This window comes from Homo sapiens, chromosome 5, assembly GCF_000001405.40.
Source record: "Homo sapiens chromosome 5, GRCh38.p14 Primary Assembly".
NCBI classification, from domain to species: Eukaryota; Metazoa; Chordata; class Mammalia; order Primates; family Hominidae; genus Homo; species Homo sapiens.
The window spans coordinates 43,508,378-43,523,915 of record NC_000005.10 but is presented as its reverse complement, the minus strand read 5'-3'; the positions used below and the strand labels follow the sequence as shown (position 1 = coordinate 43,523,915).

The window sequence follows — 15,538 nt, the reverse complement described above, 5'->3', positions numbered from 1 at the left end:
AAATGGTTTTGTCAGAAGACAGGCTTGAGCCTGGTGATCTTTGGCGGACTAGACTTCAGCAGATGTAAATAATTTAAGCTCATGTATGCTGCTGCTCTATTGTGTCAGCCTGGCAAAATACCAGCCCTGGATGAACCCAACACTGCTTCTGCATCCTTGCAGCTGGAGGTCGTTTCTGGTAGATTTTTATCACTGTAAATTCATGCTCAGCACATTGAGTTAGGCTGTCAGTACTGCCAACAATGTTAATGTGTTTCTCTTCAATCCTTCTGTAACTATTTCAAACCCCTTTCCCTCTAAAGCCCCTTTCACCCCCTAACTGATTACTTCACAGGGGAAAAAAAAACCATGATACCCATGTACACAAATGCATCTGCATTCACTTCATCCCTCCTCTTCCTGTACAGGAAGAATCCCTCCTCTTATTAAAGGCCAGTTATTCAACATGTGCTGCAATCCTATCTCCTCTCGTTCTCTCATGGAGTCTGTTGTTACTTGGTCTGTATTTTTCCTCTCTTTCTCCATTGGCTCTTTGCATGGACAGTTGAACACACCATTCTCATCAGAAGAAATCTGCTTCTCATATTTGTATCTGACCACAGTCCTATCTCTGCTTCATAGTCAGACTTCTCAAGTGCCTTCCCATGTTTTCCATGTCCTTACCTCCTATTTGAGCTTAAAACCCACTATGGCTCCTGCCCCCACTATATACAGTGGCCCTCACTAGAGTCACCAATGACCTCTATGACACTAAGTCCTGGAGAGATTTCATCCTTAGCTTATCCTGTGGCAATATGTGACATTGTTTTTTTCTTTTTTTTCTTTTTTTTTTATTATTTTTTTATTTTTTATTGATCATTCTTGGGTGTTTCTCGCAGAGGGGGATTTGGCAGGGTCATAGGACAATAGTGGAGGGAAGGTCAGCAGATAAACAAGTGAACAAAGGTCTATGGCTTTCCTAGGCAGAGGACCCTGCGGCCTTCCGCAATGTTTGTGTCCCTGGGTCCTTGAGGTTAGGGAGTGGTGATGACTCTTAACGAGCATGCTGCCTTCAAGCATCTGTTTAACAAAGCACATCTTGCACCGCCCTTAATCCATTTAACTCTGAGTGGACACAGCACATGTTTCAGAGAGCACAGGGTTGGGGGTAAGGTCACAGATCAACAGGATAAGAATTTTTCTTAGTACAGAACAAAATGAAAAGTCTCCCATGTCTACCTCTTTCTACACAGACGCGGCAACCATCCGATTTCTCAATCTTTTCCCCACCTTTCCCCCCTTTGTATTCCACAAAACCGCCATTGTCATCATGGCCTGTTCTCAATGAGCTGTTCGATACACCTCCCAGACGGGGTGGTGGCCGGGTAGAGGGGCTCCTCACTTCCCAGTAGGGGCGGCCGGGCAGAGGCGCCCCTCACCTCCCGGACGGGGCAGCTGGCCGGGCGGGGGGCTGACCCCCCCACCTCCCTCCCGGACGGGGCGGCTGGCTGGGCAGAGGGGCTCCTCACTTCCCAGTAGGGGCAGCCGGGCAGAGGCGCCCCTCACCTCCCGGGCGGGGCGGCTGGCCGGGTGGGGGGCTGACCCCCACCTCCCTCCCAGACGGGGTGGCTGCCGGGCGGAGGGGCTCCTCACTTCCCAGACGGGGCGGCTGCCGGACGGAGGGGCTCCTCACTTCTCAGACGGGGCAGCTGCCGGGCGGAGGGACTCCTCACTTCTCAGACGGGGCAGCCGGGCAGAGACGCTCCTCACCTCCCAGACGGGGTCGCGGCCGGGTAGAGGCGCTCCTCACATCCCAGACGGGGCAGCGGGGCAGAGGCGCTCCCCACATCTCAGACGATGGGAGGCCGGGAAGAGGCGCTCCTCACTTCCTAGATGGGATGGCGGCCGGGCAGAGACGCTCCTCACTTTCCAGACTGGGCAGCCAGGCAGAGGGGCTCCTCACGTCCCAGACGATGGGTGGCCAGGCAGAGACGCTCCTCACTTCCCAAACGGGGTGGTGGCGAGGCAGAGGCTGCAATCTCGGCACTTTGGGAGGCCAAGGCAGGCGGCTGGGAGGTGGAGGTTGTAGCGAGCCGAGATCACGCCACTGCACTCCAGCCTGGGCACCATTGAGCACTGAGTGAACCAGACTCCGTCTGCAATCCCGGCACCTCGGGAGGCCGAGGCTGGCAGATCACTCGCGGTTAGGAGCTGGAGACCAGCCCGGCCAACACAGCGAAACCCCTTCTCCACCAAAAAAATACGAAAACCAGTCAGGCGTGGCGGCGCGCTCCTGCAATCGCAGGCACTCGGCAGGCTGAGGCAGGAGAATCAGGCAGGGAGGTTGCAGTGAGCCGAGATGGCAGCAGTACAGTCCAGCTTCGGCTCGGCATCAGAGGGAGACCGTGGAAAGAGAGGGAGACCGTGGGGAGAGGGGAGAGGGGAGAGGGAAGAGGGAAGCAACAAATAAATTTTCTCAATATGTGACATTGTTAAGTGACACTAAAATTGAAAACCTCAGGCTGGGCGCGGTGGCTCATGCCTGTAATCCCAGCACTTTGGGAGGCCGAGGCGGGCGGATCACAAGGTCAGGAGATCGAGACCATCCTGGCTAAGACGGTGAAACCCCATCTCTACTAAAAATACAAAAAATTAGCCTGGCGTGGTGGTGGGCGCCTGTAGTCCCAGCTACTCAGGAAGCTGAGGCAGGAGAATGGCGTGAACCTGGGAGGCGGAGCTTGTAGTGAACCCAGATTGCACCACTGCACTCCAGCCTGCGTGACAGAGTGAGACTCTGTCTCAAAAAAAAAAAAAAGAAAAAGAAAACCTCTAGGCATTTAGGACACAGTTAACTTGCTTTCCATCTTCATGCTGTTCCTCCTCAATGTTTTTGTGGGCTTCTCTTCCTTTACCTAATCTGTACATACTAGTGTTCTTCAAAGTTCAGTCCTAAACATTCTTTTCTCATGTCACAATATTCTTGGACTATTTCATCCTCTCCTGTAGCTTCAGTTAGCAGCTATCAGCCAGTGACCTCCAGATTTGTTTCTATCTCCTGATTGCAGACCTCTACTAATTTACCATTTCGATCAGGTGGACTAACAAAATTTAAATCATGCTATCAGTAAATTTGCTCTTCCTCTTAACATCCCCTTTCTTATCAGTAGCACTGCCACCTATCCACTTGTCCCAACCAGAAACCCTGATTGCCTATGACTCCTACCCCTCCCTTAGCCCCAGGTTCAACCACCATCAAGTATACAGTCAATCTCCTAAATATTTCCTGGAGCTGTGCTCATCATCTTCACTGCCCAGGTCCTGCGTCCAAGCTGCCATGATCTCTACTGTTGCTTTTTCAAAAACCTTCTACTGAGCTATCCACATCAACCTTGCATCCTATAATCCTTTCTCCACTTAGCAGTTCCAAGAATCTTTCTAATGGACAAATAGCATCACAAAACTCTGTAGTAGATAGGATTTCGATATAGGAGGTTCTTAGAAGGTAAAAGGTGGGGGTGGGACAGGAACTAAGTTAGCATTATGTGATACAAACTGATGTTACAGGTCAATGAAAATGTGATCTTTAAAGATGCCTTTATTTACACTTCATGGAAGATTGATATCAATTTGCATATCAGCCTTTTTTAAATGGAGGTAAATTAGGGGTTTATGTTGCCCCCCCCATCCTGTGGTGCTGCCACATTTGCTTAAACACCTTGTTGTTTTCTGTTTTTGTTTTTGTTTTTGAGATGGAGTCTTGCTCTGTTGTTCAGGCTGGAGTGCAGTGGCACGATCTTGGCTCATTGCAACCTCCCCCTCCCAGGTTCAAGCAATTCTCCTGCCTCAGCCTCCTGAGTCGCTGGGATTACAGGTGCCTGGCACCATGCTCAGCTAATTTTTGTATTTTTAGTAGAGATGGGGTTTCACCATGTTGGCCAGGCTGGTCTGGAACTACTGACCTCAGGTGGTCCACCTGCCTTGGCCTCCCAAAGTGCTGGGATTACAGATGTGAGCCACCGTGCCCAGCCTACTTAAACACCTTGTAATAAACAATTATACCTCAATAAAGCTGTTTAAAACACACACACACACACACACACACACACACACACACACAACTTGGCCAAAAATAGAGACCTCTTTTTTTCCTAATTTGGTGTCAGAGAATATAAATCTTGAGTCCATAAATCCCTAATGTTCTGTACTCTGCCTGCCTACCTCTGTATCCCACTCCAGGATTCCCTCCCCTTCAGGCCTCTTTCCTCCCTAACCATGCTTAAACCACATTTGCTTTCTTTCAGTCCTTTTTAAAGGGAAAGCTCCTTCCCTTGGGCCTCACAGCCTTAACACAGGGACTTTAACCTCTGCTTGAAATACTTTTCCCCCTACTTTACCTGGCTAACACGTACTTAAATTTCAAACTTCAGTGGAAATATTTTCTCATCTTAGGTTAAATCTGCTCATTACAGGTATTCCATGGAGATATTGCTAGTTCCGTTCCAGACTACAATAAAGCAAATATTGCAATAAAGTAAGTTGGGAATTCTTTGGTTTCCCAGTACATATAAAAGTTATGTTTATACTATACTGAGGCCTATTAAGTGTGCGAAAGCATATTCTTTAAATATACATACCTTAATTTAAAAATTCTTTATTGCTAGAAAATACAAATGATCATATGAGTCTTCAGTGAATCGTAATCTTTTTGCTGGTGGAGGGTCTTGCCCCAGTGTTGATAGCTGTTGACTGATTCGGGTGGTGGTTGCCGAAGGCTGGGACAGCTGTGGCAATTTCTTAAAATAAGCCAACAATGAGGTTTGCCTCTTCCTTTCAAGAAAGATTTATCCAGTTTGCAATGCTGTGTGATAGCATTTTAACCACAATAGAACTTCTTTAAAAATTTGAGTCAATCATCTTAAACCCTGCTGCTGTTTTATCAACAAAGTTTATGTAATATTCAAAATCCTTTATTGTCATTTCAACAATACTCAGCATCTTCACTAGGAGTAGTTTCCATTTCAAGAAATCACTTTCTTTGCTAATCCATAAGAAGCAACGCAGGCCAGGCGCCGTGGCTCACGCCTGTAATCCCAGCACTTTGGGAGGCCGAGGCAGGCGGGTCACAAGGTCAGGAGTTCAAGACCAGCCTGGACAGCATGGTGAAACCCTGTCTCTACCAAAAATACAAAAAATTAGCCGGGCATGGTGGCGCATGCCTGTAGTCCCAGCTACTCGGGAGGCTGAGGCAGAAGAATTGCTTGAACCCAGCAAGCGGAGGTTGCACTGAGCCAAGATTGTGCCACTGCACTCCAGCCTGGGTGACAGAGCAAGACTCCATCTCAAAAAAAAAAGAAGCAACTCATCCATTCAAGGTTTATCAGGAGATTGCAGCAATTCAGTCACATCTTCAGGCTCCCCTTCTCATTCAGTTCTCTTGCTGTTTCCATCACATCTGCAGTCACTTCTTTCACTAAAGACATGAAGCCCTCAAACTCAACCATGAGGATTGGAATAAACTTCTTCCAAACTTCTCTTAATTGGATATTTTGACCTCCTCCCATGAAGCACAAATGTTCTCAATGGCATCTAGAATGGTGAATCTTTTCCCAAAGGTTTTCAATTGATTTTGCCCAGATCCATTAGAGACATCACTCTGTATGTCAGCTATAGCCTCAAGAAATGTATTGTTTAAATAATAAGACCTGAAAATCAAAATTACTTCTTGACTCTTAGGCTGTAGAATGGATGCTGCGTTAGCAGACATGAAAACAACATTAATCTCCTTGTACGTCATCAGAGCTCTTAGGTGACCAGGTGCATTGTCAATAAGTAGCAATATTTTAAAAGAAATCTATTTTTCTGAATGTCATTTTCAACAGTGGGCTTAAAATATTCAGTAAATCATACTCTAAACAGATGTGCTGTCATCCAGGCTCTGTTGTTTCTGGAGTGCAGGCAGAGTAGATTTAACATAATTCTTAAGGGCCCTAGGATTTTGAAATGAGAAATGAGCATTGGTTTCAACTTCAAGTCACCAGCTGCATTAGACCTTCACAAGACAATCAGCCTGTCCTTTGAAGCTTTGAAACCAGGCATTAATTTCTCTCTGGCTATGAAAGTCCTGGATGACATCTTCCACTAGAAGGCTGTTGCATCTACATTAAAAATCCGCTGTTTAATTTGGCCACCTTCATCAATGGTCTTCGTTAGATCTTCTGGATAACTTGCTGCAGCTTCTACATCAGCACTTGTGGCTTCACCTTGCCCTTTTATGTTACAGAGATGGCTTCTTTCCTTAAATTTCATGAACCAACTACTGATAGCTTTAAACTTTTCTTCAACTCCCTCACCTTTCTCAGCCTTCATAGAATCGAAGAGAGTTAGGGCTTTGTTCTGGATTAGGCTTTGGTTTAAGGGAATGTTGTAGCTGGTTTGATCTTCTATCCAGACCATTCAAACTTCCTCCCTGTCAGTAATAAGGCTGTTTTGGTTTTTCTTATTATTCATGTGTTCACTGGAGTAGTACTTTTAATTTCCTTTAAGAATTTTTTCTTTGTATTCACAACTTGGCTGTTTGACACAAGAGGCTTAGCTTTCAGCCTATCTTAGCTTTCAACATGCCTTCCTTACAGGCTTAATCATGCATTTCTAGGTTATGATTTAAAGTGAGAGACATACAACCCTCTTTTACTTGGACACTTAGAAGCCACTGTAGGGGTATTACTTTGCCTAATTTTGATATTGTTGTGTCTCAAGGAATAGGAAGGCTCTAGGAGAGGGTGAGAGATGAGAGTGGCCAGTGAATACAGCAGCCAGACACACACAATATATATCAATCGACTTGTTACTAGTGGAAGAGATCTGAGTTACCCCAAGTTACCAGCAGCCTATCCTTGCAGGTCCATAGCAACTTCAGTCCTGGCCTCCTCAGAGAAGAAAGAATTTGACTGACAGACATAAAGCAGAAAAGAGACTGAAGCAAGTTCCAGAGTAGGAATGGAGGTTTATTTAAACAGGCATTAGAACAGGAAAGAAAGGAAGGTACGCATGGAAGAGACCCAAGTGGGCATGTGAAGGTTAAAGAGAGAAGGCCAGCCGGGTGCAGTGGCTCACGCCTATAATCCCAGAACTTTGGGAGGCTGAAGCAGGTGGATCATGAGGTCAGGAGTTCAAGACCAGCCTGGCCAAGATGGTGAAACCCTGTCTCTACTAAAAATACAAAAAAATTAGCCGGGTATGGTGGTGGGCGCCTGTAATCCCAGCTACTCGGGGAGGGGGCTGAGGCAGAGAATTGCTTGAACCCGGGAGGCGGAGATTGCAGTGAGCTGAAATCGCGCCACTGCACTGCAGCCTGGGCGACAGAGTGAGACTCCGTCTCAAAAAAAAAAGAAAAAGAAAAGGAGAGAGAGAGAGAGAAGGTCAAGTGCCGCATTTAACCATGATCTTAGGATGGGCTCCCTGCATGCTCAGAGCCCTCTTTACCCTTGGGAAGTGAGCACACACAGTGATTTTATGGATTTATACACATGCCCATCTGAGGCTTTCTTCCTTTTTCCGGTGGAGTGTATCAGAAAAATCATACTTCATCACTTTTGTCTCTTAACCGGCATGCCCAGGAAGTTGCTTCTCTCTGGGGCCTGCATTCAATTAACATTTTGATGTTAACAGGTGTGGGCCATCAGGAAATGGCCTTTCCCTGGCGCTGCCAAATTTTCATTTTTAGAGAGGCCATGTGATAATTGCTGAACCATCACCCAACATTTCTAGTGGGTGGGTGGCAGGGGAGAGCCCTCTCCTGCCTTGCTCATGCCTAACTACCTGTAACAGATTCAGTTCGCCATTTTATAATGTATGAGCATGATCTGTGGTCCCCCAAAACAATTACAGTAGTGACATCAAAGATCAGTGATCACACAGATCACTCTAACAGATACAAAAATAATGAAAAAGTTTGAAATATTGTGGGAATTACCAAAATATGTCAGAGACACAAAGTGAGCACATGATGTTGGAAAAACATGGCACCCATACACTTGCTCCATCAAGGTTGCCTCAAACCTTCCATTTGTAGTAAACTCAGTATCTGCAAAGCACAATAAAATGCACAATAAAACAAGGTATGCCTCTCTATGCTCTCACAAACCTCTGTATTTTATCTTAGAAACACTCACAACTGTAATAAATGATTGTTTATTCTTTCTTTCCAGTTAATCTCTAGCTCTGATCCTCACCCGCAAAGAACTGGGCCACCTTCCCTGCTTTATCCCCACTATGCCTAAACACACAGTGAGTGTTCCATAAACACTTGTTTAGTGGCAATAAATATAGCAGACACATTTATTTGCCACTTTATAAGGAAAAAAGGTGCAGATACATAGACGACCTATTTTCTGATACCAAATTAGGAAGAGTTCTCCATCTTTGGCCAAGTTTTTTTTTTTCTAAACAGCTTTACTGAAGTATAATCGTTTTTTACCTTATTTAAAAATAAGTACCACTCCACTAAAACGCGCTCTGTGGTTAGTTCTCGGCTGGACCGTTCAAAAGGCTGATCCTTACAGCCTTTATTATTAATACAACCAGGTCGGGACTGCTTTTGCGTGGGTCACCAGAAGTAAAAAATCAAAGAGGAGCCAACCCCATTCCGAACAAGGAAACACCCGTCCCCTTCCTACACCAATTCCTGCTCCGCCCTTCGTAGGGAACGCAGCGAGGGCAGCCTCCGGAGTGGAGGGGCGGGACTTCCGGCCCTTCCTGTTGTGGAGGGGCGGGACTTCCTGTCTTCCCTGTTGCGGAGCTCTGAAGCGGCTCCCTGAGGGCGCTGGTTTTGAACTGGTCTTGTGCGGTTTGCGCTTTCTCTTAGTGGTTACAGTTGGCGCTGTCTCCGCTTTCCTGTTTCGTGGCGGGCATCTTGGCCAAAACACTCTCCCTGCCACCTTATTCCTCTAGGGTTGTGATTTTTTTCTTTCACCAAGAAATATCACTCGCTGGTAATTTGTCAAACTGAAGAAACCCCTGAAGAAGCAGTGGTGGGCAGGCGCCGACGCTGCGGCTTCCAGAGCATTTTGGCAAATCAAAGCCAGGGACCGTTGCTGGGCCTCATTTCCGCAACTTTTCGGCTCCGAACTGCTGTGAGTGGAAGACTTTTGGTGGTTGTTTTGATCAGGCTCCTTCTGTAACTAGAGACTATAGCATTTTGAAAGAAATGAGATTCTCATTCATGTCAAGAACAGACTTGTGGATTTTTGAGTGTTAAACATACCCTGACGTAATGTGCTGGGTGATGAGAACGCAAGCGGGAATGAGACTGTAGAGATGAGAATGGCAGTGTGGGTTGGAGCCGGGTTATGGTTTCCTATGGTATGCCAAGAACCTTAGTCATTACACTGTTTGTTGTGTATGCTTGATTATTTAAAATTAGAAAACCGCCTCAGTAAAGCTATTAAAAAAAAGACCTGACCAAAGATAGACTATTTTTCCCAAATTGGAATCAGAAAATGTCTTCCATCTATGTATCAGCACCCGTTTTTTCCCCTAAAATACCAAGTAGACATACCCGATATATACGTGTGTGTTTATATATATATCTGTAATCTATATTGCCATTTGATAAGTACGTAAACAGGTGATGTAAAGCACTTGGTATGGTGTGACTTGTGGAAAGTTACCTATGTCATCAATACTAGAGATGGATTGGAGAGAGAAGAAATTCCAGACAGTTGCAGGAGTTGGAGAGTCTATGGCCTGAAAAAGAGAAAGAGGTAGAGAGAGTCAGGTTCCAAAGACAGAAAATCAACAGGACTTGTTACAGGGGCATGGAGTGGAAAGTCAAGTTTTAGAATATTGGCTGCTAACAATGAGACACCATTAATTCAAATTGCAAATTCAAGAGGAGCAGTTTACTTATTTTTCATCATTCAAATATTTATTGTGCCATTTACTATTTGCCTAATACTGTTTTAGATGCCAGAGATACTGTTACATATAAGACAGATAAGGCCCCTGCTTCGGTTGACTTTATATCCTAGTGGGAGAAAATAAAAAGCAAGTAAATAATCAATTTTGATGATAGATTCTATGAAGAAAAAACTTGAAGAGGGATGACAAATGATTGGGAGATGTTTGGGAGTAACTTTAACTTAGTTGGTCGTTGGGCCCTTGTAGGAGTTACATTTGTGCTGAAACCTTGATGATGATAAAGAACCAGCCTTGTGATTAGCCAAGGAAAAGACAAGGCAGGCAGAAAGAACTGCAAAGATGGGAAAGAGCTTGTTTAAAGAACATTTAAAATGCCAATGTATCTAAAGTGCCCTGTAGAAGTAGGAGAGAGTTGAGAAATGACATTGGGAGAGGTAGATAGGACCAGACTGTGTGGCCTTTGTAGGCCATAGTTTAGGAGTTTGGATTTTAAGTAGAAATGGAAGGTACTGGTGGGTTTTAAGCCACGAAGTGATAGATGTGATTTTCATTTTAAAAGATCCCTCTGGGCACTACTGTATGCAGACTGGATTTGAGGGAAGAGATGAGAGTGAAAGTGCAATTAGGGGGTATTACAGAAGCCTGCTTTTGGTAGGAGTGATTAAGTTCCATTTTAGTTATGTTGAGTTTGATTTATCTATGGGACAGGGACATAGAGAGCGGTCTAGCAGGCAGCCACCTGAAAGCTCTGTGAGAGGTCAGGTACATTTAGTTCTCTAGAGAAAGAAAATAATTAAAAGTGTGTGAATCTCCTCAGGAGAGACCATGTGGTTAAATATTTACTTATATCCTGACATATCCTCAGAAGATTACAGATGATATCACCTACAGCTGATTACATACATTAAAGGGGGTAAGGTTAAAAAAAGACAAGGTGGGCCAGGTGCGGTGGCTCACGCCTGTAATCCCAGCACTTTGGGAGGCCAAAACGGGTGGATCACGAGGTGTGGAGTTCCAGACCATTCTGGCCAACATGGTGAAAACCTGTCTCTACTAAAAATACAAAAAATGAGCCAGGCGTGGTGGCACGCACCTGTAGTCCCAGCTACTCAGGAGGCTGAGGCAGGAGAATCACTTGAACCCGGGAGGCAGAGGTTGCAGTGAGCCCAGATTGCGCCACTCTACTCCAGCCTGGCAACAGAGCAAGACTCTGTCTCAAAAAAAAAAAAAAAAAAAAAAAAAAAAAAAAAAAAAAAAAGACAAGGTGGGGCATAAAAGTGACATCAGTGTTATGTTAAGAAGGGATGAAATGTGGACTAAGGTCAGGTCTTGAAGAATCCTTGATTTAAGGGAATGGTGAAGAAGAATGATTAAACTAAAAACAGGTAGAAGTGAAGAAGAAAACTGTGGCAGCCCAATGTTAGGGGAGAAAAGTAGGGGAAAAGAGAGTTTGGTGCAAGGGAATGTAGACAATGCTGTTACACGTTGATGAGGTTTAGTAGGATGAAGACTAAAGTCATTGGGTATAAGAAGACATTGGCGACCATTGCGAAACAATGTCAGTAAAGAGATAGAGGTGAAAGCTGGATTGCAGTGAATTGAAGACTGATAGGAGAGAAGGTTGGTAGTGAGTGAATACTACACTTGAGCTGTTTATAGGTAGGAAATAGGGATAAAGTGAAAGTGTTTTCTATAGAACGTTATTTTTTTCTGGCAGGTAAAACTTGATCATCTTGGTAGTAGAAGGGGATAATGTGGAAGGGGATGGGGTTAGTGTTGGAAAGGAATAAAAACATTTCATAAGATTGCTTGAGTGCCTGCAAGGCAGCATCCACAGTGCTGGTCACTGTCATATTTGTTTTCTCTTTTAATACACACAACAATCCTGTTACTACTCCCATTTTACAAATGAGGAACAACCTGAGACTTATAGCTAGCTAGTAAATGGTAAGGTGTGAATGAAACCCAACTCTTTTTTTTTTTTTTTTTTTTAGTTGATCATTCTTGGGTGTTTCTCACAGAGGGGGATTTGGCAGGGTCATAGGACAATAGTGGAGGGAAGGTCAGCAGATAAACAGGTGAACAAAGGTCTCTGGTTTTCCTAGGCAGAGGACCCTGCAGCCTTCCGCAGTGTTTGTGTCCCTGGGTACTTGAGATTAGGGAGTGGTGATGACTCTTAACGAGCATGCTGCCTTCAAGCATCTGTTTAACAAAGCACATCTTGCACTGCCCTTAATCCATTTAACCCTGAGTGGACACAGCACATGTTTCAGAGAGCACAGGGTTGGGGGTAAGGTCATAGATCAACAGCATCCCAAGGCAGAAGTATTTTTCTTAGTACAGAACAAAATGGAGTCTCCTATGTCTACTTCTTTCTACACGGACACAGCAACAATCTGATTTCTCTATCTTTTCCCCACATTTCCCCTTTTTCTATTTGACAAAACCGCCATCGTCATCATGGCCCGTTCTTAATGAGCTGTTGGGTACACCTCCCAGACGGGGTGGCGGCCGGGCAGAGGGGCTCCTCACTTCCCAGAAGGGGCGGCCAGGCAGAGGCGCCCCCCACCTCCCGGTTGGGGCGGCGGCCGGGCGGAGGCGCCCCCCACCTCCCTCCCGGACGGAGCGGCTGGCCGGGTCGGGGCTGCCCCCCACCTCCCTCCCGGACGGGGCGGCTGCCGGACGGGGCGGCTGCCGGGCAGAGACGGTCCTCACTAACCAGACAGGGCAGCTGCCGGGCGGAGGGGCTCCTCACTTCTCAGACGGGGCGGCTGCCAGGCGGAGAGGCTCCTCACTTCTCAGACGGGTCGGCTGCCGGGCAGAGGGGCTCCTCACTTCTCAGACAGGGCGGCTGCCAGGCAGAGGGGCTCCTCACTTCTCAGATGGGGCGGCCGGGCAGAGACGCTCCTCATCTCCCAGATGGGGTCGCGGCCCGGCAGAGGCGCTCCTCACATCCCAGACGGGGCGGCGGGGCAGAGGCGCTCCCCACATCTCAGACGATGGGCGGCCGGGCAGAGACGCTCCTCACTTCCTAGATGGGATGGCGGCCGGGAAGAGGTGCTCTTCACTTCCCAGACTGGGCAGTCGGGCAGAGGGGCTCCTCACATCCCAGATGATGGGCGGCCAGGCAGAGACACTCCTCACTTCCCAGATGGGGTGGCGTCCGGGCAGAGGCTGCAATCTTGGCACTTTGGGAGGCCAAGGCAGGCGGCTGGGAGGTGGAGGTTGTAGCTAGCCGAGATCACGCCACTGCACTCCAGCCTGGGCACCATTGAGCACTGAGTGAATGAGACTCTGTCTGCAATCCCGGCACCTCGGGAGGCCGAGGCTGGCAGATCACTCGCGGTTAGGAGCTGGAGACCAGCCCGGCCAACACAGCGAAACCCCGTCTCCACCAAAAAAATATGAAAACCAGTCAGGCGTGGCAGCGCGCGCCTGCAATCACAGGCACTGGGCAGGCTGAGGCAGGAGAATCAGACAGGGAGGTTGCAGTGAGCCGAGATGGCAGCAGTACAGTCCAGCTTCCGCTAGGCATCAGAGGGAGACCGTAGAAAGAGAGGGAGAGGGAGACCGTGGGGAGAGGGAGAGGGAGGAAACCCAACTCTTTAATTCCCCTTCTGTCACTGCTGTATGGAGAGCATAGGTGAAGACATAGTACTTTAGAGGTAGAGAAGAAGAAACTGAATGCAGAGAAATAAGGACAAATCCAAGATAATAGGAGATTAAGTTGCTCAGTAGTAATAAAGAGCTGTTTCTTTAATGCTAGGGTAGAGACAGGATTCCAGGTATTTGGATTTCTTCTTCAGGGTCCTTTTCCCATAGGCCTAATAGTTACTTTCTGCCTGTCTTTGGAATTTATATTACAAACAATTTGCTGCATTCTTACCATAAAGGTGGAATTTGCTTATTATTTGAAATTTAAAATGAGATAATGAGCATATAATTTATAGAAATTAAATTTCTTTAGGCCGGGCGCAGTGGCTCATGTCTGTAATGCCAGCACTTTGGGAGGCTGAGGCAGGCAGATCTCAAGGTCAGGAGTTCCAGACCAGCCTGACCAATATGGTAAAACCCCGTCTCTACTAAATTACAAAAATTAGCCAGGCATGGTGGCACACACCTGTAATCCCAGCTACTCAGGAGGCTAAGGCAGAAGAATCACTTGAACCTGAGAGGCAGAGGTTACAGTGAGCCGAGATCACACCACTGCACTCTAGCCTGGATGACAGAGCGAGACTCCATCTCAAAAAAAAACAAAAAAAACAAAAAGAAATTAGATTTCTTCTTGGTTATGTTCCTGCATTGGAGTAAACTTCTAGAAGTTATAAGCTTCTAAATAATAAGCATATAATTTACAAAAATTAAATTTCAGTAGAAGTGAAGCTATTAAAATTATAAAGACAGTTATCACTTGTGGTTGTCTCTTCTTGGTTATGTTCCTCCATTGGAGTAAACTTCTAGGGGTTAATTAAGGCATTTTGTTAAGGATGTTCATTTCAGATTTATCCAGTGTAGTTAGTATTCTTAACAAAAGTAAATGCAATGGCAATGTCATCTTCTTAGAAAATGCACGCACTTATTTTGATAAAAGTTTTGTACATTAAGAGAACTATTTATGCTGTTGTTTTTCCTATTTCATTCAGTCTTTGACTTAGAAGATATCTTATCCTGCCGTTGTAATGGCAGCTGAACTGCGAATGATACTTTATGAAGATGATTCAGTACAAGTACAATATGTTGATGGTTCCACATTGCAACTTTCTCCCTGTGGCTCTGAATTTTTATTTGAAAAGTCACCACCTGTTTCAGCACATCCTTTAGAACAACCAGAAAGAATTCGTCAAAGGACACATTTTGTCATTAGCACTTACAGAGTAAGTAAAGATATCACGTAAACAACTTTTTTGTTTTTTAGAGACAGGTTCTTGCTCTGTCACCCAGGCTGGAGTACAGTGGCACTACCATAGCTCACTGCAGCCTCGAACACCTAGGCTCAAGTGATTCTCCTGCCTCAGCCTCCTTTTACAAGGGAGTTACTCTAGGACTACAGGTGTGCACTACCACATCTGGCTAATTTTTAAATTTTTTGTAGAGCATTGTCTAGCTATGTTGCACAAACTGGTTCTCACACTCCTGGCCTCAAGTAATCCTCCCATCTTGGCCTCCCATTATGCCAGGATTACAGGAGTGAACCACCGTGCCTGGCCAAAACTACTCTTTGAATACCAAAATACTGTTGACGTGGCTAGAATATGAAAAGTAATTAGTATTATGGATTATACTGTACTGTCATTTTTAATTGATTTTCAAATCATTTTACATTAAGGTTACATTTTATATTTCTTTTCATAGGAGCAACTACAGCGAGCCCTAGATTTTCGAAACTCTTCAGCTACTTGCCCTTTTTTATCTGAAACCATCATACCTTCTGAAAGAAAAAAGGTGATTTTTTTAACTTCATTTTTGTTAGTATTATTTGAGGACAAGTAACTAGAAACAGGTAATTTAATATTTAGCCTTTTTTTCCTTTTCAGGACACCTGGGGATACATTGCTATAAAACATCAAAGTTACATAGTGTATCCCCCTTGCCATTTTCTTTGTATCCAAGCATTATAATCAGAATTTTTAGATTGGTGACT

At 45.6% G+C, this 15,538-nt stretch overlaps 1 protein-coding gene and 1 long non-coding RNA gene across 7 annotated transcripts in view, besides 2 other annotated features; one reads left to right on the top strand and one right to left on the bottom strand.

Moving 5' to 3' along the window:
• Positions 1,470-2,079: an enhancer, noted in NCBI's record as "H3K27ac-H3K4me1 hESC enhancer chr5:43521939-43522548 (GRCh37/hg19 assembly coordinates)". NCBI's record gives its function as "activates a minimal SCP1, AML or CMV promoter by ChIP-STARR-seq in naive H9 embryonic stem cells {active_cell/tissue: H9 hESC(naive)}" and the evidence as "EXISTENCE:reporter gene assay evidence [ECO:0000049][PMID:30033119]".
• On the bottom strand, positions 4,062-14,547 carry LOC124900190 (uncharacterized). 2 transcript variants are annotated; one of them, XR_007058764.1, is made up of 3 exons: positions 12,617-14,547; positions 4,614-9,723; positions 4,062-4,483 (listed from the first exon to the last, which is right to left on the bottom strand). It is a non-coding gene; the product is annotated as an uncharacterized LOC124900190 (long non-coding RNA). The 2 variants fall into 2 exon arrangements; XR_007058765.1 differs by having other exon boundaries at positions 7,952-9,723; positions 12,617-12,658.
• C5orf34 (chromosome 5 open reading frame 34) overlaps positions 8,768-15,538 on the top strand; it is a 28,440-nt gene continuing 21,669 nt past the window's right edge. For 3 of the 5 annotated variants that reach the window (NM_198566.4, XM_011514038.4, XM_047417156.1), the window contains exons 1-3: positions 8,768-9,110; positions 14,541-14,771; positions 15,250-15,339. In NM_198566.4, coding sequence (NP_940968.1) covers positions 14,577-14,771; positions 15,250-15,339 — 285 coding nt within the window. In that variant the 5' untranslated portion in view covers positions 8,768-9,110; positions 14,541-14,576. The remainder of the gene's footprint in view (positions 9,111-14,540; positions 14,772-15,249; positions 15,340-15,538) is intronic. The other 2 variants (XM_017009445.2, XM_017009446.2) reach the window with 2 other exon arrangements.
• Positions 9,001-9,160: an enhancer, noted in NCBI's record as "active region_22540". NCBI's record gives its function as "activates an Ori minimal core promoter by ATAC-STARR-seq in GM12878 lymphoblastoid cells {active_cell/tissue: GM12878}" and the evidence as "EXISTENCE:reporter gene assay evidence [ECO:0000049][PMID:35858748]".